This window comes from Homo sapiens, chromosome 1, assembly GCF_000001405.40.
Source record: "Homo sapiens chromosome 1, GRCh38.p14 Primary Assembly".
In the NCBI taxonomy this organism is placed as follows: Eukaryota; Metazoa; Chordata; class Mammalia; order Primates; family Hominidae; genus Homo; species Homo sapiens.
Genome location: NC_000001.11, coordinates 960,058 through 985,203, shown reverse-complemented (window position 1 = coordinate 985,203; position 25,146 = coordinate 960,058). Strand labels below are relative to the sequence as shown.

General features: G+C 65.0%; 3 protein-coding genes across 21 annotated transcripts, besides 5 other annotated features; 1 reads left to right on the top strand and 2 right to left on the bottom strand.

The window, feature by feature from the left end:
* Positions 778-867: a silencer, noted in NCBI's record as "silent region_12". NCBI's record gives its function as "represses an Ori minimal core promoter by ATAC-STARR-seq in GM12878 lymphoblastoid cells {active_cell/tissue: GM12878}" and the evidence as "EXISTENCE:reporter gene assay evidence [ECO:0000049][PMID:35858748]".
* PERM1 (PPARGC1 and ESRR induced regulator, muscle 1) lies at positions 3,111-10,006 on the top strand. Of its 5 annotated transcripts, NM_001291367.2 has the most exons (5): positions 3,111-3,139; positions 4,031-4,067; positions 4,547-6,323; positions 8,580-8,705; positions 8,935-10,006. In NM_001291367.2, exons 2-5 carry the CDS (start codon positions 4,038-4,040, stop codon positions 9,030-9,032), a joined length of 2,031 nt encoding a protein of 676 aa, NP_001278296.2. In that variant the 5' UTR covers positions 3,111-3,139; positions 4,031-4,037; the 3' UTR covers positions 9,033-10,006. The 5 variants fall into 5 exon arrangements, with proteins under 5 accessions (NP_001278296.2, NP_001278295.1, NP_001381642.1 ...); NM_001291366.2 differs by lacking the exon at positions 4,031-4,067 and having other exon boundaries at positions 4,157-6,323; NM_001394713.1 differs by having other exon boundaries at positions 4,031-6,323.
* PLEKHN1 (pleckstrin homology domain containing N1) lies at positions 9,339-18,722 on the bottom strand. Of its 10 annotated transcripts, none has more exons than NM_001367552.1 (16): positions 18,590-18,722; positions 18,401-18,500; positions 14,781-14,927; positions 14,603-14,683; positions 14,446-14,518; positions 14,198-14,325; positions 13,996-14,127; positions 13,800-13,880; positions 13,054-13,129; positions 12,780-12,916; positions 12,194-12,343; positions 11,878-12,018; positions 11,564-11,704; positions 11,153-11,371; positions 10,840-10,888; positions 9,339-10,762 (listed from the first exon to the last, which is right to left on the bottom strand). In NM_001367552.1, the coding sequence occupies exons 1-16, from the start codon at positions 18,670-18,672 to the stop codon at positions 10,629-10,631; spliced, it is 1,872 nt and encodes a 623-aa protein (NP_001354481.1). In that variant the 5' UTR covers positions 18,673-18,722; the 3' UTR covers positions 9,339-10,628. The 10 variants fall into 10 exon arrangements, with proteins under 10 accessions (NP_001354481.1, NP_115505.2, NP_001397626.1 ...); NM_032129.3 differs by having other exon boundaries at positions 13,996-14,091; NM_001410697.1 differs by having other exon boundaries at positions 14,198-14,518.
* Positions 18,081-18,240: a silencer, noted in NCBI's record as "silent region_11". NCBI's record gives its function as "represses an Ori minimal core promoter by ATAC-STARR-seq in GM12878 lymphoblastoid cells {active_cell/tissue: GM12878}" and the evidence as "EXISTENCE:reporter gene assay evidence [ECO:0000049][PMID:35858748]".
* Positions 18,511-18,830: a silencer, noted in NCBI's record as "silent region_10". NCBI's record gives its function as "represses an Ori minimal core promoter by ATAC-STARR-seq in GM12878 lymphoblastoid cells {active_cell/tissue: GM12878}" and the evidence as "EXISTENCE:reporter gene assay evidence [ECO:0000049][PMID:35858748]".
* On the bottom strand, positions 19,485-24,620 carry KLHL17 (kelch like family member 17). Of its 6 annotated transcripts, NM_198317.3 has the most exons (12): positions 24,404-24,620; positions 23,652-23,911; positions 23,454-23,575; positions 23,157-23,378; positions 22,733-22,849; positions 22,287-22,500; positions 21,951-22,095; positions 21,700-21,867; positions 21,196-21,284; positions 21,024-21,097; positions 20,674-20,855; positions 19,485-20,241 (listed from the first exon to the last, which is right to left on the bottom strand). In NM_198317.3, the coding sequence occupies exons 1-12, from the start codon at positions 24,508-24,510 to the stop codon at positions 20,013-20,015; spliced, it is 1,929 nt and encodes a 642-aa protein (NP_938073.1). In that variant the 5' UTR covers positions 24,511-24,620; the 3' UTR covers positions 19,485-20,012. The 6 variants fall into 6 exon arrangements, with proteins under 6 accessions (NP_938073.1, XP_006710663.2, XP_047275180.1 ...); XM_006710600.4 differs by lacking the exon at positions 24,404-24,620 and having other exon boundaries at positions 22,733-22,918; positions 23,652-24,083; XM_047419224.1 differs by lacking the exon at positions 24,404-24,620 and having other exon boundaries at positions 22,733-22,918; positions 23,475-23,575; positions 23,652-23,935.
* Positions 24,067-24,396: a silencer, noted in NCBI's record as "silent region_9". NCBI's record gives its function as "represses an Ori minimal core promoter by ATAC-STARR-seq in GM12878 lymphoblastoid cells {active_cell/tissue: GM12878}" and the evidence as "EXISTENCE:reporter gene assay evidence [ECO:0000049][PMID:35858748]".
* Positions 24,417-24,726: a silencer, noted in NCBI's record as "silent region_8". NCBI's record gives its function as "represses an Ori minimal core promoter by ATAC-STARR-seq in GM12878 lymphoblastoid cells {active_cell/tissue: GM12878}" and the evidence as "EXISTENCE:reporter gene assay evidence [ECO:0000049][PMID:35858748]".

Sequence of the window (25,146 nt, the reverse complement as noted above, 5' to 3'; positions counted from 1 at the left end):
AGCGAACTGCACATTTTAAATACTTGAAGACCGGGGCGGCTCACACCTGTCATTCCAGCACTTTGGGAGGCCAAGGCGGGCAGATCACTTGAGATCAGGAGTTCGAGACCAGCCTGGCCAACATGGCAAAACCCCATCTCTACTAAAAATACAAAAATTCTCCGGACACGGTGGGCGCCTGTGGTCCCAGCTACTCAGGAGTCTGAGGCAGGAGAATCGCTGGAACCCGGGAGGCGGAGGTTGTAGTGAGCCGAGATGGAGCCACTGCACTCCATCCAGCCTGGGCGACAGAGTGAGACTCCGTCTCAAACGATAGATAGATAGATAGTTAAATAAATAAATACTTGAAGTGTATTACGTGTTAATTATACTTCAATAAAGCTATAAAAAATGAAAAGGAGGCCGGGCTTGGCGATGGCGACTGTGATCCCAGCTACTCAGAAGGCTGAGGCTGGAGGATCACTTGAGCCTGGGAGGTGGAGGCTGCAGTGAGCTGGGATTGCGCCACTGCACTCCAGTCTGGGCGACAGAGCGAAACCCCATCTCAAATAAATAAATAAATAAATAAATAAATAAATAAATAAATAAATAAGAAGGAAAAAAGAAAGAAAAGAAAAAAGAAAGAAAAATAATTCCGCAGCTGTGTACATTGTTTGCGGCTGTACCCGGCATGCGATGGTTGCTCATGGATCAGCTCCCCGACTGTCTCAAGGTCCGGGACTTTCACCCGGGCCACATGGCTTCAGGAAAGGGAGCCGAGCAACCGCCCCCAGAATCGCCCTTCTCGCCCCCCGCCCTCCCCAGGAGGGGCAGGACCTGGCGCCCCCTGACCAGGGCAGGAGCCGCTGAGCCGACCGCAGTGGTGTCCTGGTGCCCTCTGGTGGCCGCTAGGGGCACAGCACGTCCCCATCCTCCCAGGGGACCCTGCCCGACCTCCCCCCGCCCCCCGACTTGCCCCCCAGGCCCGGGTCTGGTCTCTGCCTCCACCGTAGAACTGGGTTATTCCTCCTCCCTGGACTGAGGGGTGCTGCTGCCTGAAGTGCAGGGGGGCCCTGACTATTCCTCATCCTACAGCCACCCTCCCACCAGGAAGGGTCATGACTGGGCTGGATACAGGGAAGGGCTTCCCCTGAAGCCTCAGGCCAACTCCAGTGACAGCTCGTCATGAAAAGGCCTCAGGGTAGGGCCCCTCCCTCCGCCACCCTAGACCTCCTCGCACAGCTCCCTGGCCACAGCCTTGCCGTCGGCCTCCCTGCCTCTCCTGTCCCAAGCCCCAAAGCCTTCTCATCTCGTGATGGTCCACGTGGGGCCCGGATGCCACGTGCATGCCACCCAGGATGTGCTGCTGGGTCAGCTGAGCGTCCACGTGAAGACAGGAGTCCCGTGCCCCCCACCTCCCACCTCTCACAGAAGTCAATGCCAAGTGTGTGGCAGAGCCGAGCGTGAAAGGCGACACAGTGAAGTTTTTTTTTAAATGAAGGAATAGGCCGGGCGCGGTGGCTCACACCTGAGGTCAGGAGTTTGAGAGCAGCCTGGGAAACATGGAGAAACCTGGTCCCTACTAAAAATACAAAATTAGCCGGGCATGGTGGCGCCTGCCTGTAATCCCAGCTACTCAGGAGGCTGAGGCAGGAGAATCTCTTCAACCTGGGAGGCGGAGGTTGCAGTGAGCTGAGATTTTGCCATTGCACATCAGCCTGGGCGACAAGAGTGAAACTCCGTCTCAAACAAACAAACAAGCAAAGAAAGGTACCGTTATGAGGGTGGAAAGAGGAGGCAGAGAGGGAGAAGATTCCCCAGTACAAGAGTTCAATGAAGAGCTCGTCCAGAATACGTAAGGACTCCTACAGACCCACAGGGAGGAGGCACAGGGAGGCGGCCGCAGCCGAGAGACGCCACACAGAAGCAGATGCGCAGCTCCTGGGAAACTCCAGCCTGGAGCACGGCCACGCAGCCACCTGGGGAACGGGGCGGCACCTTCTGACGCTGACCCCAAGCGTCCTGGAAATGTGAGAGGTTCGCCGAAAGGAATGTTCCCAGATATTCACAGCCGCACCGTGTGTGGTAGCTGCAAACTGGAAACGACCCACATCGCCACCCACGGGAAACGGCACAGCCGCGTGGCACGTTCACACAGGACAGCCTCACCCGCCCGGGCAGTCGCCCGCGGCCCTCATGGCAGCTGTCTCCAGAGCACGGCGTGGGCCCGAGGACACAGATGCAGAAAGGGATGCAGGGTGCGATTCCACTTGTGAAAGCTCAAGTCAGGCCGGCCCTGCGTGGCGGGACGCCTTGTCCTGTGGTCTCGTGGCAGCTACTTTCTGGAAAAGCATCGTATGGCACCAGGCATGCACTTTCTGCACGCCCAGCTCTCACTGCCACCCCTCACGGCGCACACCCCAGTCTCCTAGTATCGTGCCCTGAACTCTCAGGAGCTTCTCGGTCCAAGCCTCCTCCTTAGAGAGGTCTCCGGCCCCTCCAGCCACGCCTCTCCCTACTTCTTTCTCAGGACGTGCTGCCATCGGAGCTGAGCTCACCTGCCTGTTTGATCGGATGTTTATTGTTGGATCCCTCGCCCTGTCCTCTTGTCCCCTCTGGCTCGGAACCTGCCTGGGAATGGGCACCGTGAACCCCAAGGTCAGGACGGCCTGGAGGGTGCAGCTGAGCGGAGCCAGGCGTGGGGGCTCTGACGCTGACGCTCCCTGGCGTCACTCACCCTCACATGAGCCCCAGAGGTCAGGACCGGGAGGCACAAGCCCTGGCCGGGACACAGAGGCCATCTCAGAAGCAGGCCAGGAACATTCCAGGGGCGGCAGGGAGGGCAGGTCTGAGGTTTCACCGCGGGTGGCGGAGGCACGGGAACTGAGCGGTGCTGCCTGCTGGTCAGCGTCCTCCGGCCCGTGTCTGACCCCACCTCAGCCCGGCCCCGTGCCAGGAAGTCGTCCTCATGTACTGTAGCTGGAGGGCCCTCAAATGCCATCTATTTGTGGCCTGGACCCTGATGGCTGGCACGAGTCTCATGTGGCCACAGGGACGTGGTATTTTTGGCACAGGGGGAGGAGCCTGTGCAGCCACAGCCTAGCACCATGCCGACCCAGGACGGGCAGCTCAGACGCCCAGCTCGGCCGCCGGGACCCAGGTAGGACATGGTCAGCTGCTGGCTCCTGACCCAAGGGGCCCCAATGGTAACAACCCCCACAGAGGCTTCTCAAGAGACCAGAGAGGAGGGCGAAGGTCAGTGGGTGGGAAGCCACCATGCCCTGGCCTCCGTCTCAGGACCGTCCCCACCAAAGTGACTTCCCACCCCTGGGTCCAGAGGGGCTGACCTGAGGCCGAGGGCGGCCCCCTCTAGGGGTAGACCCGACAGCTGGCTAGGGTCTCCTTGCTTCTCTGAGACGGGGCAAAGGAAGGCACCCCGGGCAGCCGGGCAGGCCTGGATCGTGGTGCAGACCTCGAGGACGGCCCGAGGTGGCTGCTGGGTCAAGAGACCCACCGCAGCCTGCACCTCCTGCCCAGGCTCTCCGTGCTGACTTGGGCCAGCTCTGGCCAGCACCACCTGGTGAGCTCAGAGAATAGCCTGGCCCAGCCAAGGCGATCGGAAGGTCATCGCCGAGGGCTGGGCACCTGCTGGGCCCTGTAAACCTTTCCTGTGGCCGGCTGCCAGCTGGGGCGCACTGGGATGGACCAGGGCTGCCCACCCCCGAGGGCACTGGTCCCATCGGGTGGACCCTGAAAGGTGCTTTGCCGTGCAAAGACAGCTCTGGCAGAAGGTGGAGGAGGTGAGGCTGCCCCAGCTGAGGTGTGATGGGAAAGAGCATTCAAACCTGAGGACGGCTGGTTTTATAGCTTCACTGGTAGAAAATCATCCTTGATTCTAGGAATGTAACACCGCATCATCACACAGCTATCATTTGGGGTGCGTTGGGAACTAGGGTCATGGGAGCTGGGGATCTTCTAACTTGGAAATCGTCACCACTAGGTTTGAAGGAAGCGCGGCCCTCCCCTCGAGATGCTGTTCTCTTCCTTTCAGGGCATGGATGGAGCCCCGAGGCGGTGGGAGCTCCCAGGTCTCGTGGGGCAGGGGCGGCATGTGCAGGGTGGTGCCCGGGGCCTGAACCCATGAAGACCCCACCGGACCCATTCTGCTACCCTCCAGTGCCTCTGCTGACTCCACATGGAAAATTTCCAGTACAGCGTCCAGCTGAGTGACCAGGACTGGGCCGAGTTCTCAGCCACCGCCGATGAGTGTGGCCTCCTGCAGGCCGGCCTGGCCTCTGGGGACGAGCTCTTGTCCAGTGACATTGACCAAGGGGACAGCAGTGGCAGCAGTCCCCCCAGGGCCCCACCTCTCCCAACTGGGCAGCTAGCTGCAGGAGGGCGGAGCCGGCGGGGCTGCGAGGAGGAGGACGTGGCCACACAGCAGCCGGTCAGCAGGTCTCAGGGTGAGCCTGTCTTGGCCCTGGGGACCGGTCAGCAGACACCCAGCACGTCCGCACGGGCAGAAGCTCCACCGTCCCTCGGCCCCGGCGCCAGCCCTCCCAGCCAGTTCTCATCCTGCCCTGGTCCGGCGTCTTCTGGAGACCAGATGCAGAGGCTTCTGCAGGGCCCTGCCCCACGGCCCCCTGGTGAGCCCCCTGGGAGTCCCAAGTCCCCTGGCCACAGCACTGGCTCCCAGAGGCCCCCCGATAGCCCTGGAGCCCCACCACGGAGCCCCAGCCGAAAGAAGAGGCGAGCTGTGGGTGCCAAGGGGGGTGGGCACACAGGAGCCTCTGCTTCTGCCCAGACGGGCTCCCCGCTGCTCCCTGCGGCCAGTCCTGAGACGGCAAAGCTGATGGCCAAAGCCGGGCAGGAGGAGTTGGGGCCAGGTCCTGCAGGAGCTCCTGAGCCTGGCCCCAGGTCCCCTGTGCAGGAAGACAGACCAGGGCCAGGTTTGGGCCTGTCTACACCTGTCCCTGTGACAGAGCAAGGCACAGACCAAATCAGAACCCCGCGCCGAGCCAAGCTGCACACAGTGTCCACGACTGTCTGGGAAGCCCTCCCAGATGTCTCAAGGGCTAAGTCAGACATGGCTGTGTCTACACCTGCCTCCGAGCCGCAACCTGACAGGGACATGGCTGTGTCTACACCTGCCTCCGAGCCGCAATCTGACAGGGACATGGCTGTGTCTACACCTGCCTCTGAGCCGCAACCTGACACGGACATGGCTGTGTCTACACCTGCCTCTGAGCCGCAACCTGACAGGGACATGGCTGTGTCTATACCTGCCTCCAAGCCGCAATCTGACACGGCTGTGTCTACACCAGCTTCTGAGCCTCAGTCCAGTGTGGCTCTGTCTACACCCATCTCCAAGCCACAATTGGACACGGACGTGGCTGTGTCCACACCTGCCTCCAAACATGGCCTGGATGTGGCCTTGCCTACAGCAGGCCCAGTGGCTAAGCTAGAGGTGGCTTCATCTCCACCTGTCTCGGAGGCTGTGCCGAGGATGACCGAGTCCAGCGGGCTTGTGTCTACACCTGTTCCCAGAGCCGACGCCGCTGGCCTCGCCTGGCCTCCCACCCGCAGAGCTGGGCCTGATGTGGTGGAGATGGAGGCGGTTGTGTCTGAGCCCTCAGCAGGGGCCCCCGGATGCTGCTCTGGGGCACCCGCACTGGGTCTCACCCAAGTCCCCAGGAAGAAGAAAGTGCGCTTCTCCGTGGCTGGGCCCAGCCCCAATAAGCCAGGCTCAGGACAGGCCTCAGCCCGGCCCTCAGCCCCCCAGACAGCAACTGGGGCCCACGGGGGGCCCGGAGCCTGGGAGGCTGTGGCTGTCGGGCCCCGGCCCCACCAGCCTCGGATCCTCAAGCACCTGCCTCGCCCCCCTCCCTCTGCCGTGACGAGGGTCGGGCCCGGGAGCAGCTTTGCCGTGACCCTCCCGGAGGCCTACGAGTTCTTCTTCTGTGACACCATCGAGGAGAACGAAGAGGCTGAGGCGGCAGCGGCCGGTCAGGATCCGGCAGGCGTCCAGTGGCCGGACATGTGCGAGTTCTTCTTCCCAGACGTTGGAGCCCAGAGGTCGAGGCGGCGGGGGTCCCCGGAGCCGCTCCCGAGAGCTGATCCTGTGCCGGCCCCCATACCTGGAGACCCCGTGCCCATCTCCATCCCTGAGGTCTATGAACACTTCTTCTTCGGGGAGGACAGGCTTGAGGGCGTGCTGGGGCCGGCTGTCCCGCTCCCACTGCAGGCCCTGGAGCCTCCCCGGTCGGCCTCCGAGGGGGCGGGGCCTGGGACCCCCCTCAAGCCAGCCGTGGTAGAGCGGCTCCACCTGGCTCTTAGACGGGCAGGTACGTGCTCTCGGATCCCACAGCCCGTCCAGATCCCAGGCACACACTGTCCAGGGATCTTGGCCAAGCAGGGGGCCGCAGGGGCCGGGCAGGCCGGGCTTGGGTCATCCCCTAGCAGGGGAGCCTGGGGACCAGCCCCCAGTCATCCCAGCACACAGTCCAGATGGGGCGGCCCAGTCCAAGCACCCGGGTTGTTCAGGGGGTTGGCTCTGCGCCGCCGTTGCCCTGTGTTCGGGCCCATGTGACGGCGGCGTCCCTCCCCCAGCCTCTGGCAGGGTTCCCGCCCAGGCCTGGCTACCTTCAGGGTCAGGCACTCTACGAGGCCCATCTCACACTGATGTCCTCTGGGAGATGCTTTACAGACCAGAACACGGGGCCTCCACTGGCAGTTCCCCCAAACTGGCCCAACTCAACCAGGTCACCCAAATCTCAGGCAGAAGAAGCACGGGGGCGATGTGACTCCGACAGACGCGTCCAGGGCGGGCGGTTCCCGGGGCAGGCGGTTCCCGGGGCAACCAGTTCTCAGGAAGACGTGTCCATGACAGAGGGGTTTCGGGAAGACGTGTCCAGGGTAGACGTGTCCAGCACAAATGTATCTTAGGACAGACATGTCCCATGATGGATGTATCTGGGGCAGGCGGTTCCCGGGGCGGGCGTGTGCGGGGCAGGCAGTTCCCAGGCCAAGAGTGTGCAGGGTTAGGGTGGGGCAGGCGGTTCCTGGGGTTGGAGGGGGAGGCAGGCGGTTCCCGGGGCGGCCGTGTGCGGGGCAGGTGGTTCCCGGGGTTGCGGGGGAAGCGGCTCCCGGGGCAGGCAGTTCCTGGGGTTGGGGGGGGTTGGGAGGCGGTTCCTGGGGTTGGGGGGGGTTGGGAGGCGGTTCCTGGGGTTGGGGGGATTGGGAGGCGGTTCCCGGGGTTGGTCGGTGGGGGCAGGCGGTTCCCGGGGTTGCGGGGTGGTGGGAGGCGGTTCCCGGGGTTGCGGGGGGAGTGGGAGGCGGTTCCCGGGGTTGGGGGTGGTGGGAGGCAGTTCCCGGGGTTGGGGGGATTGGGAGGCGGTTCCCGGGGTTGGTGGGGGTGGGAGGCAGTTCCCGGGGTTGGGGGGATTGGGAGGCGGTTCCCGGGGTTGGTGGGGGTGGGAGGCGGTTCCCGGGGTTGGTCGGTGGGGGCAGGCGGTTCCCGGGGTTGCGGGGGGAGCGGGAGGCGGTTCCCGGGGTTGGTGGGGGGAGCGGGAGGCGGTTCCCGGGGTTGGTGGGGGGAGCGGGAGGCGGTTCCCGGGGTTGGTGGGGGGAGCGGGAGGCGGTTCCCGGGGTTGGTGGGGGGAGCGGGAGGCGGTTCCCGGGGTTGGTGGGGGGAGCGGGAGGCGGTTCCCGGGGTTGGTGGGGGGAGCGGGAGGCGGTTCCCGGGGTTGGTGGGGGGAGCGGGAGGCGGTTCCCGGGGTTGGTGGGGGGAGCGGGAGGCGGTTCCCGGGGTTGGTGGGGGGAGCGGGAGGCGGTTCCCGGGGTTGGTGGGGGGAGCGGGAGGCGGTTCCCGGGGTTGGTGGGGGGAGCGGGAGGCGGTTCCCGGGGTTGCGGGGGGAGTGGGAGGCGGTTCCCGGGGTTGGTCGGTGGGGGCAGGCGGTTCCCGGGGTTGGCGGGGTGGTGGGAGGCGGTTCCCGGGGTTGGTGGGGGGAGCGGGAGGCGGTTCCCGGGGTTGGTGGGGGGAGCGGGAGGCGGTTCCCGGGGTTGGTGGGGGGAGCGGGAGGCGGTTCCCGGGGTTGGTGGGGGGAGCGGGAGGCGGTTCCCGGGGTTGCGGGGGGAGCGGGAGGCGGTTCCCGGGGTTGGTGGGGGGAGCGGGAGGCGGTTCCCGGGGTTGGTGGGGGGAGCGGGAGGCGGTTCCCGGGGTTGCGGGGGGAGTGGGAGGCGGTTCCCGGGGTTGCGGGGGGAGTGGGAGGCGGTTCCCGGGGTTGGCGGGGGGAGTGGGAGGCGGTTCCCGGGGTTGGCGGGGGGAGTGGGAGGCGGTTCCCGGGGTTGGCGGGGGGAGTGGGAGGCGGTTCCCGGGGTTGGCGGGGGGAGTGGGAGGCGGTTCCCGGGGTTGGCGGGGGGAGTGGGAGGCGGTTCCCGGGGTTGGCGGGGGGAGTGGGAGGCGGTTCCCGGGGTTGGCGGGGGGAGTGGGAGGCGGTTCCCGGGGTTGGTGGGGGTGGGGGCAGGCGGTTCCCGGGGCGGGCGTGTGCGGGGCCATCTCTGAGTGCAGCCGTGGGGCTGAAGGTGAGCTTCTGTCCTAGGGGAGCTCCGGGGGCCTGTCCCATCATTTGCCTTCAGCCAGAATGACATGTGCCTGGTGTTTGTAGCTTTTGCCACCTGGGCTGTGAGGACGTCAGATCCGCATACCCCAGACGCCTGGAAAACAGGTTTGGGTGCCTGGGGGCAGAGGGAGCTGCGCCTAGAAGCCAGACCGAGGGGCGCTGGCAGGACGAGGGGTGCACGGGGGCCCCGGGGCTCACCCCTGACCTGCTCCCCCCAGGCTGAGCTGCGGCCCTGGCCGCACCGACCTTGCCCGCCCTTTGAGGGCTGGGTCTTGCGGGCAGACGGTGCCGACAGCCAGGCTGGCCCTCAGAAGAGCCTGTGCTTCTCTTGCAGCCTTGCTGGCCAACGTCGGCACCATCTCTGCCATCCGCTACTTCCGCCGGCAGGTGGGGCAAGGGCGCCGCAGCCACAGCCCCAGCCCCAGCTCCTAGGAGCCAGGCCCGGGCCAGGGAGATGCAGGATGAGGAGACGACCACAGGCGCCCAGGGCAGGACGAGGTGCCGCCCTCGCCCGGGCCCTCTGACCCCTCTCTTCTACCGCGTCCAGGAGGGGGGCGTGTCCTGGTGCTGCTCCCTCCGACTCACCTGAGGATCCAGCCAGTGACCACGGCCACTCCCCACGCCTGGGAGGGAGGTGCTAAAGTCTGGGTGGGTGGAGGGCAGGCAGGTGGCTGGGTAGGAGGGTGGCCAGATTCACAGATGAGAACACAGGGCATTCGGTTAATTTCAGACAGGCAATAGTGGGGAGGTCATTTTACTAAGAAGTTGTTGTTTATCTGAAATCAAATGCAACCGCACCCTGCGTTTCTTCTGGGGTGCAGGGGGAGCTGAGTGGCAGGACAGGACTTGGACCTCGGAGGGGTCTGAGCAGCAAGACACTCCGGCTGGAGCTCTGGGCAGAGGCAGGGGAGAGGACACAGGGTGGCCTCAAAGAGGGGATGGGCAGCCTCCTCACAGGTGGGCTGGGCTGGCAAGGGCTCCAAGGCCCATCACTCTTGATCCTCAAAGGACTGTGGCCAAGGCCTCTGCGGGCTCTGGCCTGAGACAGCGAAGGCTCTGCCTGCCCCTCCCCAGTGCAGCAGCCCCTGCAGGGTGGGGGTCTGTGGCAGAGCCGCGAGCCCCTCCCCGGGAGCCCTGGGTGCAGGTGCAGAGGGAGAATTCGGTGGCCTCAGATGGAGGGCTGGGCTCCTGGGGTTGTCCCGGGGGCTCCTGTGGGGCAGCTGGGGACCCACAGCCAAGAGGAGTCAGAGATGAGGTGGGAAGGTCGGTGAGGGGCCCGAGGTGGCAGAGGAAGGGGGCTGCCTGGCTGGGTGCTGGGTGGGGGTCCTCAAGACTGTGGGAGACCCTGGCTGCTGAGCAGAGAACACATGGATGCAGCACCAATAAAATTCTATCTTTTCTTTTTCTTTCTTCCTTTTCTTATTCTCTCTCTCTCTTTCCTTCTCTTCTCTTCTCTCTTCTCTTCTTTTCTCTCTTCTCCTCTCTCTCTTCTCTCTTTTTTCTTTCTCGTCCGGTGGTGTCAACGTCTCCCGTGCTGCCCTGTGGTGCGCGCCAGGCCACACAAGGACCCACCCACCCTCCTCCTCGGGGCACCCTGGCTTGTGCTCCTCACACCTTGCTGACCTGTGACCCTCATGCCCTCTGACCTCACATACTCTGACCCTGCTGACCTTTCTCTGTCCTCCGACCTTCACGCCCGTGCTGCCCTCCCACTCCCAGCGAGTCTCCTCCCTGACTCCTGGCGGGCTGAGCTGAGGGCCGACCCTGTGGACGGCCAGGACCTCCCTGACCTGTGACCCAGCCTCGCTGGCCAGGGCATCCTTTGGATGGGGCCCCTCCCACCCTTCCCTGCCCCAGCTGCTGGCACCAAGGAACAGGAGCTGAGGGACGGGCTCTGAACTCAGGGCCCCAGAGACTCCCCCCATCACACTGGGTTCAGACCCTGACTTGTAATTTGAAGTGGGTTAGAGGGGCAGGTACCCTGGAGCTTGGCGAGGGTGGTCCTGAGAACCCACCTCACCGCGGCCATCAGATCCACTGCACAAGCCCCCCACTGGCCTCAGGCCCTCCAAGCTGGGGGCACTTCTGGTGGGAGGAAGACAAAGTCTCGTCCCAGAGGTGGTCGTAGCCGGGGTCCCGGCTCCTCCTGGGGGACCGACCATCTGGTAGGGAAGGCAGAGATGTGTCAGCCTGTGGGAGGCAACAGGCACTCACCTCAGGAGGCAGGATCCTTACTCACCTGTCAGAGGCAGCCAGGGTTCGGGCGAACCTTCCCTGGCAGAGGAGACCTGGAACCCCAAACCGCAAGTCTGAGAGCCGGGCACAGCCCCAGGCAGGGAGCTTGGAGGCGGCCTGTCACTGTGCAGCCCCCCATGTCCCCCTGCTCTCCCTCCCCAGTCCCATCTCCCCAACTCCCTACTGGCCCCCCTGGCCTCCATCTGCCCCCGTCCTCCTGTTTCCCTCCCTGCTCCCTCAGAGTCCCAAGAGGCCCCACACCAGACCCCCGGCCAGCCCGGAGCCCGGGGCACACGGGCGTGGGGGCTGCTACTCACAAGCTGAGGGGCGTCTGGGGGCTGCGGCCCCCCATCCTTGGCTGAGCCCCGGTGTCTCTGAGCGGCTCTGGACTGCAGGGCTCCCTTCTTGGAGAGCAAGTAGGGGCCAGCGGGGCCGGAGGAGCAGGAGCGAGGGTCAGAGGCAGGCACAGACACAGGCACCGAGGGGAGTGGGCTCGAGGGCGTGGGTCCACGTGCACTCTGCATGGCACTGAGGAACTGCAGGGAGAGCCAGGGCTGGGGCCTGGGTGGCAGCCAGGGGCCCCCAGAACCTCAACCTCCCATCAGAGCCTGAACAGACCTCAGGCTTGGGGCAGCCCCAGACCCCAGGGTGAGACGCACGGTCTAGACCTCCCCAGCCTCAGGCTGCAGGCACCTCCCACCCTTTCTGTCACCCAGCAGGGGCCTGACCTCCTCCAGGCCCCGGACATCTGTGACCCTGCGGTGGGAGGTGGCGGGTGGTGTGTAGGGGTCGGCATAGAGGGGCGAGTGTGATGTTTCCGAAGTGTGGTCAGGGGCATCTGGGCTGCTCTCCAGGCTCAGCCTGTGCAGCTGCAGGGCAGAGGTGGGAGAAATGGGCTTCTCGGCTAGAAACAGCCTAGGCCACCCCTTCTCTGTGCAAGAGGCCTCTGGGTGGCTCCAGGACAACTGGGCCCAGAGACAGAGACCAGTGGTGCGGAACGGTGGGAACCAGGCCAGGGGCTGTGTGGGTGTGCTGGGCCCACCTGGGTCAGGTCCAGGTGCAGTGGGGTGACAGGGCCGCGGCCCTCTGCCCGGGCCTTGCTCCCGGGTGACCGGCTGCTGCCACTGCGTCTCAGCTCGGTCCTCCGTCGGCCAATGCTGGCACGGTCAGAGTTGGCCTGGTCCTGTGGGGACCACAAACCTTCCAGGAAGAGCCCTTTGGCCCCTCTCCCGTGCAACTCTCTGAGGCTGCAAGGGGCTCCCTCCAGTCTGAGTTCCCCTGAGGAACCAGGGTCCCCAACACACACCTACCCGACAGCCTTCTGCCCCACTTTCGTCTGCCACCCCGTAAGCGCTCACCGGTGTGTGCTGGGAGGAGCAGCCCACGGTGGATGGCACTGAGGACTCAGGCAGGGAGTGGCTGGTGCGGGTGGAGGGGGGCGCCAAGCACCCCGAGTCCCAGCTGGTCTGTCCGCCTGAGGAGAGTGAGCCTCGGCCACTGCCCATAACCTGGATGGGCAGTGAGTGGGGGTGAGTGAGGGCTGGACCCCCTCCCCACCCGCCCCTGCCTGGACCCACCGTGCTGTCCCCCCTTTTATCTTTTTGGGACGAAGTCTTATTCTGTCGCCCAGGCTGCAGTACAGTGGCACGATCTCGGCTCACTGCAACCTCCGCCTCCTGGTCAAGCGATTCTCCTGCCTCAGCCTCCTGAGTAGCTGGGGTTACAGGGATGTACCGCCATGCCCGGCTAATTTTTTTGTATTTTTAATAGAGACAGGGTTTCTCCACGTCGGTCAGGCTGATCTCGAACCCCTGACCTCAAATGATCCGCCCGCCTCAGCCTCCTAAAATGCTGGGATTACAGGCGTGCGCCACCACGCCCGGTCTGCTGCCCCCTTTTTACCACTGCCCAGGACCTGGGCTGTGGGGCCTATTGACCCCTCACCTGCGACCCTGGGAAGCTCTCGGCACCAGGCAGCGGCGGGGCCCCCTCCCTGTGGGTGACAGCGCGAAGGCACAGCAGCCAGTGACCGTAGTCCTCGTAGCTGGCGCACACCACGCGGATGGTGTTGATGAGGGGGCCTGGCATACAGATGCTGTGAGGGGCTGGCGGGGGGGTGCACCCCTCAGCGCCCCCACTAAAGAGTCGGGCGTCCCCCAGGCTCCCGCCCCACCATGGCCTGGCCAGGCGGGAGGCAGAACCAGGGTCAGGGCCCTACCTTCAATCAGGAAGGAGCGGATCTGCTTCTCCTTCTCCTCCAGGTTGATGTGGACGGCACGGAGTGGGAGCTCCCCCTGCGGAGCAGAGATTGAGGGCCAGGCCTTTGTAGGGGCAGCCCCGGGGCCCCGCCTGGCCTCATCCCACCCTCTTGCCCTCCAGAGCTTGGCTGGGTACTTGGAGAGCTGGGCACCGAGGCCACCACCCTGAGGGAGGCCAGTGGGTCCCATGTCTCCTGGGGCTACCACCAACCCTGGCGCGGGGGCCTTCGCCGGCTAGGGGCAGACACACAAAGCCACAGGACTGGCCTCTTGGGGTCCCCAGAGAAGAAGTTGGGCCGGGTGAACCATGGGGAGGGCCCTGTGTTTGTTCCTCAGTGACTGAAGGTTACCGTGAGTGCACACCCCCTTCCCGGAGCCCGCCCTGGAGGACACACGCACACGCACGTGTGCACACACACGCCTCACGGGCAGGCACACACAAGGGAGTCCCCGGGAGGGGCTCTCAGCCCCATGCTGCCCGCCCCAGGGTGACGGTCAAGAACCTCAGGGTGAGAACCTCAGGGCGGGCAGGGGCTCCTCCATGTCACAGCGGAGACCAGACTGACCAGGACCGCGGGCTGGGTGGGCAGGGCCCTGCGCTCTGTCTCAACAAGCCCCGAAATACAGGTTCCTCCTGCATGGCTGCCCCCTCCCACCCCCACACAGCTGCCTCCCTGGGGCGGGCCCACAGTGGGGAGGGGCCCACCTTGAAGCAAAGCCCGTCCAGCTCCTCGGAGAAAATGGCCAAGGACGTTGGGTACAGGACCAAGAGCCGGTCCCACTGCTCCTGGGTGGGTGGGGGTGGGGTCAGGCGATGAGGGAACTGAGCTGCTGTTGCACCGCCCTGCCCACCACCATGCACCCCTCCCATCCCCCTACAGCCCCACGCACCTCCCACCCACCTGTGCGGGCAGGTGCTGCAGCTTGACCCTCGAGGCACAGACAGCACTGCCGCCGGGTTCGTGCCCTGACGCCGTCCGCAGCCGGGTTAGACGGCGCTGCAAAGTCCAGGGGAGTTCGTCTCCGCAGGACCCCTGTGAGGAGGAGGTCAGAGCCGGCTGCGAGGATCAGGGTGGGGAGGGGGGTGGGGTCCCCGGCACTGACCTGTGGGGGTGCCGAGTGGCAGCGCCGCGGCCCCCCGAGGAGGGCCGTCTGCTTCTCCAGGTGGTAAAGCCAGCGGTCCAGCTCGGCCCGGCTGGGGCAGAGCACCAGGAGGGGTGCGGGCAGTGGGCCTGCGGGCAGGGCAGAGAGGGCACACACATACACACACGTGCTCCGCAGCCACAGGGCAGGCCCCTCTCCAAGTCCTGGGTCAGGAGTGCCTCTGGGGGCCCGGGAAGCATCCCAAACACCTGTGATCTGGAAGGCGTGCTCTCGGGACCCCTCGAGCGGGCAGACACTCAGCTCCGTCAGCGGTAACAGCCCCTGCCAGGCACAGGGTAGGAGGAGCTTCAGGGATCCATGGAGGGAAGGGCGGCCATGGCCCCACCCCATTGCCCACCGCCTCACCTGAAATGTGAGTCCTTCCGAGCCGTGGGCCTGGAAGTACAGGTGGGCGGGGAATAGCTCCAGGTAGCAGTCGCTGACATCCTGCGCGGGGAGCAGGGTCGTCAGTGCGGAGTCTGGGGAGCCCCAGGCTGATGGGGATGCTGCACCCTTAGCGTGCTCCACCCAGCCCGGCCCCCACCTGGCTGTGCTGGAACCGCAGCTGGACCTTGGCGTAATGCACAACTTTTCCCAGGTTCCTCACAGGCACCCTCCGCCGCCCCTTCTTGAACACACTCAGGAATGGCTGCTCCAGGTTTTCTCGCTGGTTCTCCAGGTCCAGGATGTCCTAGGAGGAGTAGAGCTCAGGGGAGGGGGCCTCCCCTGGGCCCCCCACCCCCTCCGCTCGCATCCACACAGCTACAGGACTATAGCATGGTCTGCCTGTGCATAGCCACACAACACATATGTGAAGAACAGCCCCCCACAGGCACAGAACCTGTGCACAGCCACACAACACATACGTGAAGAACAGCCCCCCACAGGCACAGAACCTGTGCACAGCCACACAACACATACGTGAAGAACAGCCCCCCACAGGCACAGAACCTGTGCACAGCCACACAACACATACGTGAAGAACAGCCCCCCACAGGCACAGAACCTGCACACTCAGCCTTTCCACAGGAAAACAGTCACGGCAGAATTTACACACACGTGCATACATATATGCATACATGCATATTCGTGTACACGTACACGCACACACACCCGATACGTGCACATGCAGGCAACATGCATGCATCCATATATGCGCACACATACACATGTATAAATGCATACACGCACACATGCATACACACACAATAGACACATACATGCCACACAATACAGACACAGATGCATACACACGGGAACACACATACGCACTTATACACACATGTACACACACGCACACATATGCATGGATACACACGTGCACACATACACAGTTGCACATACACAGATATGCACACACGTGCATACATGCATACATATCCACACGCAAATACACCCATACACATGTATACACATACACACGTGCACATACACACGTGCACACATACACATGCACACCTATACACACATGCACACACATGCATGCACACATGCACACTGCATACATGCATACATTTCCACACACACACAAATACACCAACACACACGTATACATACACCTGTGCATATACACACAGATGTGTGCACACATATACACGTGCAAACACATGCACACATACACACTTGTGCACACACACGCACACACAGACACACTTCCCCACACAGAGCTGCCTGGTCTAGTGGTAGAGATGGTGAGATCTGGACTCAGTGGATTAAACCCATCTTCATTCTTTCCTAAGCTGTGTAACATGGCTTGGGTTATTCAACCTCTGAAGACTTGTTAGAAGAATTTGGGGGTGTCTGGGTAACACTCAAAACCCTCCCACGTCTGCAGTATTGTATGGTAAATGCTTAACACCTGGTTCTACAAAAAACAGACACAGAAACACACCGATGCCCTGATTTGTAACGTTTGCCAATCTCCTCGGTGTCAGTGTCCTCACCGTTGCCCATTTCCAGCCCCCAGCCTGAAATATGTGAGGAGATTTCTGGGGTCGATCCTCTGTGTGTTGGCCGCTCCGTATGCCTCACTCAGGGGACAACGGGGTCCTGGCAGTGCCCCGAGGGGTCTCCCCCGAGGGGTCTCTGTGGCTGCCCCGGCCTCACTGTCTCCTCACATCAGACCCATGCTCTCTGGCTGCTGCATGTTCTGTTCCTGCTTTGGGGACCGCTCAGTCCTGACCCCCCTCCTTACCCGCTTTGCAGCTTTGCTCAGACATTACCTGCTCCAAGAATTCCTTTTCTGAAAGCCTTTCTAAAATTCCAGCCTTCCCTGATCCTCTGCACTCATCCCCTCTGTTTTTCTCCTTAGCACCGACCTGACCCCGCTCACTGGATCTATTGATTTGTCCCGTCGTGTGTCTCTGCCGTGGGAATGGGAGCACTAGCAGAACAGGGGTTGTCTATTCCGTTCACTGCTGTGTCCCCAGAGCCTAAGACAGGGCCTGGGATGTGCTGTGGGTATCACTGCATGTGCTGAGAGGGGAGGGGACTCCACATCCACGCCACATGTAGTCAATCCTGGCACACACAGTCCTCTACAAATGCAGGCTTTGATCACCAGGTTGGAAGTCAGAAAAGGGACGGGTGTGAACCTGGGGCTGGAGACCTCTGTGATCCACAGGCTCAGGGCCAAGTGGGAAGGTGTCCTCCTCCTTCTAGGAGCTGGCGAGAGCTACCTGCAGAGCTGCTGTGCCCTGGCCAAGCTTAGCTGCCCCTGAGCAGGCCCAGGAATGTGAACAGACAGACGCATGGCTTTCCCGGCCTTCTGCCTCTGGGTGGGGCCTCCTGTACCCACACCCAGCGTGGGAACTGATGCCGGGTTGGCACCCATGAAAAATAGGCCACAGACCAGGAAGGGCCACACAGCTGGCCCTGCAGCGCAGCTCAGCCTCGGGGCCCCGGGGAGGACTCAGCTTGGAGCCGTAGTAGAGCCAGCTCACAGCACTGGGTGCAGAGCCCAGGTACAGGGCCGCGGAGCACTGGCTCTAGGACTGGCCCAGAGCTCCTCCCCCAGCCCCATTTCCCGAGGTTCAGCAGGTTGTTGCCTCTGTGGCTACCATGTCCTGGCAAGGGAGGACCACTACGGCCACCCACCACACCTCATAGGACCCCCCAGGGTCACACTGCATGTCCTGGGCCTGGACAGAGGGAGTGGTGTCTGAGATGCAGCCACAGGGACCCCACCCCTAACCCAGCCCGGCTCCCTCTCCCTGCCCACTCCTCTGAGGCAGCGTGGTTTCCGAAACCAGTACTTGTCTGCAGGGAGCCCTGAAACTCTGGAGGTCAGGAGAGGGTATGGCACGAGCTTCCTGCCTGGCGGGGGCATGTTGGCAAAGGGGTCTGCACGGCCATGCCAGCTGCTGGACCCAGGAGTGCAGGGCAGGCGTCCTCTCCCGCAGATGCTCCTAGGGCCTGCACATAGCGGAGCCCACCCATCCAGGCTGCCTGACGGGGGTGCAGTGGGGGTTCCTGTCTGCCCTGAAGCCCAGGTTCCTGGTCCTGTTCCCTCATCCCAGCACCAGACACATCTGAAAGGGGCTGGGATCTACCCTGTGAAGACCCTTAGTCCCACAGGGGCTGGGGGGGGGGTGGGCATGGGGGTGGTCTTCTGCTCCTTTGACGGAGAGGTGGCCTAGTGTGTGCTTGGGAGACACCTCCTTGCTGCATGGCCTTGGCAAGCTGGGAGGAGGCCGGCGCGTGCACAGAGGGATTGCTGTGGACCAGGCGGCCATACCCAGCGGCAACTTCCTGCGGGACACCCAGGGAGAAAGGCCGGTGTAGGTGACCGGCTGGCTCGCTGCTCATCTGAGGCCCCTTACTCTCAAGTGACACTACCTGCCGGCACGACCCCAAGCCCCACTGCAGCGACAGAGACACGTGCGCTGGTCCCCTGCGGGAGGAGGTCCCGGGAGGCCCCGCCCGCGGCCCGCCCCGCCCAGCTCTCTCCCGACTGACTCAGTCCTGCGTCGCGGTTTCGCTCTCCGCTCAGACTTTCGGCCGGATGAGCTCCCCAGGGCGGGGCAGTCAGCGTCGGCTCCTCACCTACCGGGGTCTGAACGCCCCGGGGGCGAGGGGAAGACCCTGAGCTGCACGGACACACGGCACACACGCGCGGGCAGAGCCACGCTCCCAGACCACAGCCACCGTGCACGCCGCGCTCACCGTGCCCGGGATGTAGTGGAAGAGCTTGTTGGCGGCGGCGTCCCCGCTTCGAGCAGCCTCGGGGCCCGGCAGGCCGGCCGACATCCGCGCGCTGTCCTCTCTGGGGACAAGGCAAGGGGTCTCGTGGCTTGGCCCCGGAGCGGGTGGGGGAGCCCTGCGCCCAGGTGGCCGCACCCACGCCCCGCTCACCTGTTTCCCTTCAGCGAGGGCTTTCTGGAGAAGGAGGCCCGGAGCCTCCTGGGGGCCTGAGGGACACAGTGGCTGTTCCCCATGGCCAGAGTCGTACAGGTCGGCAAGTCTGGGTCCCTGTCCACAGCCTCCTGCCCCCGCCTCCCGCGGGCAGGCGGGGCTCCGGGACGTCCCGCCCGGCACCAGGGCCTGGGCGAGGGTGGAGCCTTTCTGGAAGAGGCCTGGCCCCTACCTGAGCCGTGCAGGTCTCTGCCCTGGGCCCTCCACTCGAGAGGCCAGCCTTGGGGCAAGCACCCCTCTGGCCCAGACGAGGCCTCCAGTGTGCAGAGGTACCCCACCTGCTTGTGCTCCGGCTTGGTGAACCCGGGGCGACCTTCCAGGCCCCCCGGGACAACGTGCCCACACATCCTGTTTCCATCTAAACTCTGGCCGGCCCGAGTCACCGGTGACTGCAGGGAGGGCTGAGGCAGGAGTTCCAGCACAGGAGACGGCGGCCAAAGCCACCGCAGCCTCCCCTCCTGCCTGGGCCCCCTCGCCACAGACCCGAGTCAGGGTCCCCAAGGCTTAAGGGGACTCAGGGAGGCCACATGCCCCCTAGACGGCCAAGACAGTCAGCGCACTCGGGGGCAAGGCTGTCCTCCCCAGCCCTAACCCCAGAGCCCACGATGTGGCGGGGACCTCGGCCTCAGTACCCAGCCCAGGCAAACGCCACCCACACTGGGACGCTGGTCCACAGGAACTGCACGGCCCCCACCCTCCCTGGACGCACAGCTCTGCCTTGCAGCTCCCAGATGCCTGCGCATCTCAGGGCACCCCCCCACACCCCTCACCCTGGACCCCAGACAGGACCCAAAGTTGCGCAGCTGCCCCACATGCCAGAGAGAGATGCTCAGCCTGAGGAACCCCAGAAATGTGTTTATTAAGTTGGACTCGTATTGCTGTGTGGGGTCCCAGTGCACGCGTGTGCACCCACTACAAGATCCAGGAAAGATGGCACACGGCAGACGACGACAGGAAGGACAACTGCTCCCCACCCTTCCCGGGACCCCGCCATGTGCAAAATTCGAGCTGGGGTCTGCAGCTGCTTGGAGAGACCCAGGGCCTCTTGCTCCACAGCCTGCAAGGTCTGAGCAGGCAACGGCCCTGGGGCGGTGAGGCCCCCGCCTGGTCACTCCCCGCGCCCCCCATGCAGGCAGTGGAGGGGAGGACACGCAGGAGGACCAGACGCTAAAGGTGTAAACGGGCAGCCGTGGCACTCCTCACCCCTCAATAAATAAGATAAATAACTAAATAAATAAACAACTAAATAAAGACATGAAGGAATGGATGCAGAGACGTGAACGGATGGCGCAGGACGTCCCTGGTGGGGGCCACGGTCCCCTTAAGGCATGTGGGAGGCTGCAGGCCTCTGGTGGTAGGTGGGTCAGAGGCTGGTGGAGGACACGGACAGCGTCGGGGAGGATGGCGGCGGGAAATTGAGCAGCTCCAGCACCGCCACACCCACACTGCTGCGCCGGGTGAACATGCAGGATGCGGCCACCCACTTGTTGGTCCTCGGGTTGTACTTCTCGATGGAGTTGAGGCTGGAGCTACCGTCGTTACCCCCCACGGCGTACAACCATCCGTCCATGGCCACCAGGTCATGCGTGCTCCTGGGGGGAAGGCGGGGTGAGCCCCTGGCTGCAGGAAGGGATGCGGGGGGAGGGGCTGCACCACAAAAAGGGGTGGTGGCGGGACATGCTCGCTGAGGTTGGGAGAACTCCCTTCTCACAGCACATCCCCACTGCGGACCCGCGCCCCCCTCCCGGCAGCACATCCCCACTGCGGACCCGCGCCCCCCTCCCGGCAGCACATCCCCACTGCGGACCCGCGCCCCCCTCCCGGCAGCACATCCCCACTGCGGACCCGCGCCCCCCTCCCGGCAGCACATCCCCACTGCGGACCCGCGCCCCCCTCCCGGCAGCACATCCCCACTGCGGACCCGCGCCCCCCTCCCCGCAGCACATCCCCACTGCGGACGCGCGGACCCCTCCCACAGCCCCACTGCGGACCCGCGCCCCCCTCCCCGCAGCCCCACTGCGGACCTGCGGATATTCATGGGCGCCACGCTTTCCCAGGCTCCAGCCTTTGGACTGTATCTCTCTACCGAGTTGAGGCAGCTGGTGCCGTCGTTGCCCCCTGCCACGTACAGGGCACCCTCCAGCACGGCCACGCCCGCTGAGCTGCGTCGGCTCAGCATGGACGCCACGGGCGACCACACGTTCACCTGGGGGCGAGGGCGTGGGCTGGACGCAGACCCGCCACTGGCATCCCTCCTCTGCCGCAGCCCCGACTCCAGGGTGGGGTGTCAGGAATGGGGGGGATGTGGGTAAACAGAGGGAGGAGGGCCCCGCGGCGCACGGGAGGGGGTGGCCAGGAGGGGTGCACTATGCACCTGGGGCTCATACTTCTCCACAGTGGCCAGGTGTGAGGAGCTGTCGTAGCCGCCCACAGCATACAGGTTCCCATCTGCCGGAAGTCAACACACCCGTGGCACTCCTGCTGGGAGTGGGGTCTCCACGGTGGGGGAAGGTGGGGATGCCCCCCAGGCAGGCCCCATCACCCACCAAGCGTGGCCACTCGCACATAGCGCCTCCGGGTGCTCATGGCAGCGACGGACGTCCACGTTCCGGTCAGGGGGTCGTAGCGTTCAGCACTGTGGGCACCAGGACCGCAGCCACAGCTCAGCAGAGACAGAAAGGCGTCCCGGCCCCAGGACCTGCCCTCCCCAGCGGAATGGCTGAAATCTTACCCTAGGAGTCAAACTCAGACCGCAAAGTCCTACCAGGCAGGGCCCGCTGGTGGGCACAGGACCCTGGCTGCCTGAACAACCCTGGGTGCACACCCACCTGGGCCCAGCCTCTGGACTGGGGGTAAGGACCCGAGAGAGGAAAGGGCACTGGGGCAGCAAAGCCAAGAGTTCAGGCCCAGTGTGGCAGTGGCCTGGGGTGAAACGGCCTCGCGGATCACCTCCTTTAACACCCCATCAGATACGACCCCTGTGATGGTGACACAAACTTGCCTCTTGCAGATGGACTGTACAAAGCCACTGGGGCCCCAACCCCAACTACCTGTTCAGGCAGGAGGCCCCGTCATAGCCGCCGGCCGAGTACAGGAGTCCATGCAAGGCGGCCACACCCAGGCAGCTTCGCCTTGTGCCCATGGACACCTCCGGCTGCCACGTGTTAGTCACGGGGTCGTAGGACTCCACGGTAGCCAGGTCTGAGGTCCCATCATAGCTAGCGGAATTAAGCCACTGCAGGTCAAGACTGGCCTGGCGGGCACGTGCCAGACCCGACCCAAGTCCAGCCTCCAGGCTTACCCGCCCACAGCATAGAGCCGGTTCCCCACCGCAGCCACTCCCACCCGGGCCCGGCGCGTGGACATGGAGGCCACCACGTGCCAGCGGTCGGTGCGCGTGTCGTAGGCCTCACAGTCTCCGTGGATGGCAAACAGGCTCCCGCCGCCTGGGGAGGGCAGGTGGAGACGGGACTCGTGAGTGGATCCCACTGCTGGGCCACACCCCAGGCTCCTGGAGAGGCCCCTGAATGGAGGGGCGGAGGGGCAGGTCAGGACCTGACCGGCACAGGTGGGGTGGGCTTGTGCTGGTGGGGAGTAGAAGGCACAGGGCAAGAGGGAAACGGGCGGGGGGCCATACCCACAGCAAAAAGCACAGGCCCGGCCCCCTCGCAGCGCCGGGGACGTGTGCGGCTGGTGCCTAGGACGCCCCTCTGCTCAGGCAGCAGGTGGAACTTCAGGGCCTCGATGAGGAGGTCCTTGCAGTCAGGGTGGTGCCTCACCAGGCTCTCGGCATCCACGTGGCCCAGCAGGAAGTCGCGGCTCAGCAAGGGCAGCCGCACACACTTCATGAGCTGGGGTGCAGGGAACGCCAAGGTCAGGCGGGACCCTCGGGCACACTGGGCGTCAGGGCTGAGACAACCCCCCAGATGCCCGTACCACCTGTGTGATGGATTCTTCTTCAGACAGGTGGGGGCACCACCCCCACGGAGTCCCTGAACTCGGGGAAGGTCAGGGTGCACCAGGCCCTCAGCCACCTGCATGCCCTCCTGGATGCTGTGGGAGCCCCCCGCGGCCGCGCCTCACCCGTGGGACATGCTGCCTGCGGGCGTCCACGTCGTGTTTCACCCAGCTCAGGACGGCTCGGTAGACCTCCTCCTCTGAAGGCACGTTCAGGCTGTCGCTAGAGACCAGTTCCAGAACCTGGGAGTGGGGGTCCTCAGACCTGAGATCTGGGGAGGGTCCTGTGGACCCAGGGAGCCCTGAAGATGCCTAGGAGGGAGGGTTAGCAGGTGGGGGCTGAGTGTTCATACTGGGAGGGGCCGAGCAGAGTCAGGAGCCACAGACGAGGCTCCTGGGGGGCCCAGATCCAGAAAGGTCTCGGGGACACACAGCAGGCACTAAGGATTGTGGGCAGGGCTGTGTCAGGAACAAAACGGGGTCGGGAGTCAAAGACAAAGACTGGGGTGGGGTGGGGTGGGGGGCGAGGGCTGGGCCCGCCAGCTGTTACCTGTTTCAGGGGCAGCAGCATAAACTCCTCGGTCTTGGCCACGTCCACGAAGTGCTGCAGCACGTACCTGTGGGCGGCCTTGAGCAGGTCGCTGCAGGAGTGCGCATCGGCAAAGCCCCGGATACCCAGGCAGTTGGAGGGGTCGAGCTGACTCAGTAGAAACTTGCAGCAAGCGTCTCGGACGCCATTCAGCTGCAGGAGACTGGCGGCTGGGAGCAGAGTCTACGGGGCACCGAGAGGCAGGTGAGGGAGGCACAGGGTCGGGGGACACCGGGATCCGGGTGAGGGAGCCCTCACCTGCACATTGCCCTCGCCCACCACAATCTCAGCCGTGTAGGCAAACTGCACCAGCTGGTCCAAGGCCTGAGGGTCGATGTCGTGCAGCGTCACGTGGGTCTGGCGGCTCTCGCTCATCTCATCTGCGGGGACAGCGGGTTACACGAGCTGACCCGAGGGACCCACGGAGCCCCCAGCGCCGCCCAGGCGGGTACTTGCTTGTGAACATGGCGTGGAAGTAGGGGCTGCAGGAGGCCAGCACCACTTTGTGCGCACGGATCTCCTTGGCAGCCACGTGCAGGACGATGTCGCACAGGAGGCCGCGCTGGCGCATGCGGCTCATGGCCACGAAGGCATCGTGGTAGTGCCGCTTGGAGTTGTGGGCCACGCTGTGGCCCTCGCGGCTCAGCAGCTGCACGGCTCCCTCCATGGGGGCTGCGGGCCGAGCCTGCCGGGGCCGCGTGCGCTCTGCCTCGGGGCTGCAGGAGGCGGGCGGGTCAGGCTTCGCCCCGCTGGAGCCGCCCGCCCGCCCTGGAGCCGCTGGGGGGCCCGGGCAGCCCGCGGGGACCCAGCCCCTGGTGCGACGGGGGCGCCGGCAGCCCTCGCCTGACCTCCGCCAAGGACCCCCGCCCCGGAGCGCGCCGTGTCCAGGCCTCCGCTGCGCCCCTGCTCCCCTGGGGCGTAGTCAGAGCCGCGAACAGAGCCCCGCGTCCGGCCCCGCTTCCCGGCGCCCCCACGAGCTCAGCTCCTCCGCGTCCCTAGCCGCCCTCTCGGGACCGCAGCGGGAGTCGCGTCCTGGGCGCGCGGGGCGCGGGTGGGGAACCTACTCCGGGCCGACCCCGCTCCGCACCTGAGTCCCGACCTCCCCCGGCCCTCGGAAGCGGCCCCCGCCCCTTCTGCGAGCGGACGCGAGGGCGGGGGCCGCGCAGGTCCCGAGGCCGCCCCCCGCGCCCCGACCCCCGCCCACTCACGCCGGCGGCTGCGGCGGTGGAGGCGGCGGCGCCTCGGGCCCGGGCCCCGGGCTGCCGTGCTCCGGGCTCTGCGTCCTGCCGGCCGGGCGCTCGCTGCGGGGCTGCATTCGGCTGCCGGACCCACCGCCGATTCGCGGAGGACCCGCGGGCTTAACGGACGCGGAGACTGCCGGAGGGCTGCTCGGCGGTGGCGGCCCGCTCTGTGTCGCTCACTCCCGCCGCTCCCGCCCGCAGCCGCTGTTTCTCGGCGCCGCCCGCCCCGCCTCCCGAGAGGCTTCGGGGACTAGACGTTGGACGCGGATTCTTCCAGCGCTGCGCCCCGGGTCCGCCTCCTCCTCCGAGAAGCACCCCCAGACCCCGCCATCCTCCTCCTCCGGGAAGCCCCCCACCAGGCCTCGCCCTCCTCCTCCTCCGAGAAGCCCCCCTAGGCCTCGCCATCTTCCTTCTCCGAGAAGCCCCCCAGGCCCCGCCATCCTCCTCCTCTGGGAAGCCCCCGGCCTAGCCCTCCTCCTCCTCCTCCTCCGGGAAGCCCCCCTAGGTCTCGCCTTCCTTCTTCCCCGGGAAGCCCCCCACAGGCCTCGCCCTCCTGTTTCTCCGAAGAGCCCTCCTAAGCCTCGCCCTCCTCCTCCTCCAAGGAGCCCCCCTAAGCCTCGCCCTCTTCCTCCTCCGAGGAGCCCCCCAGGCCTCGCCCTCCTCCTCCCCCGGAAGCCATCCCCGCTCCCCCGACCCCCTAACTTGCTCTC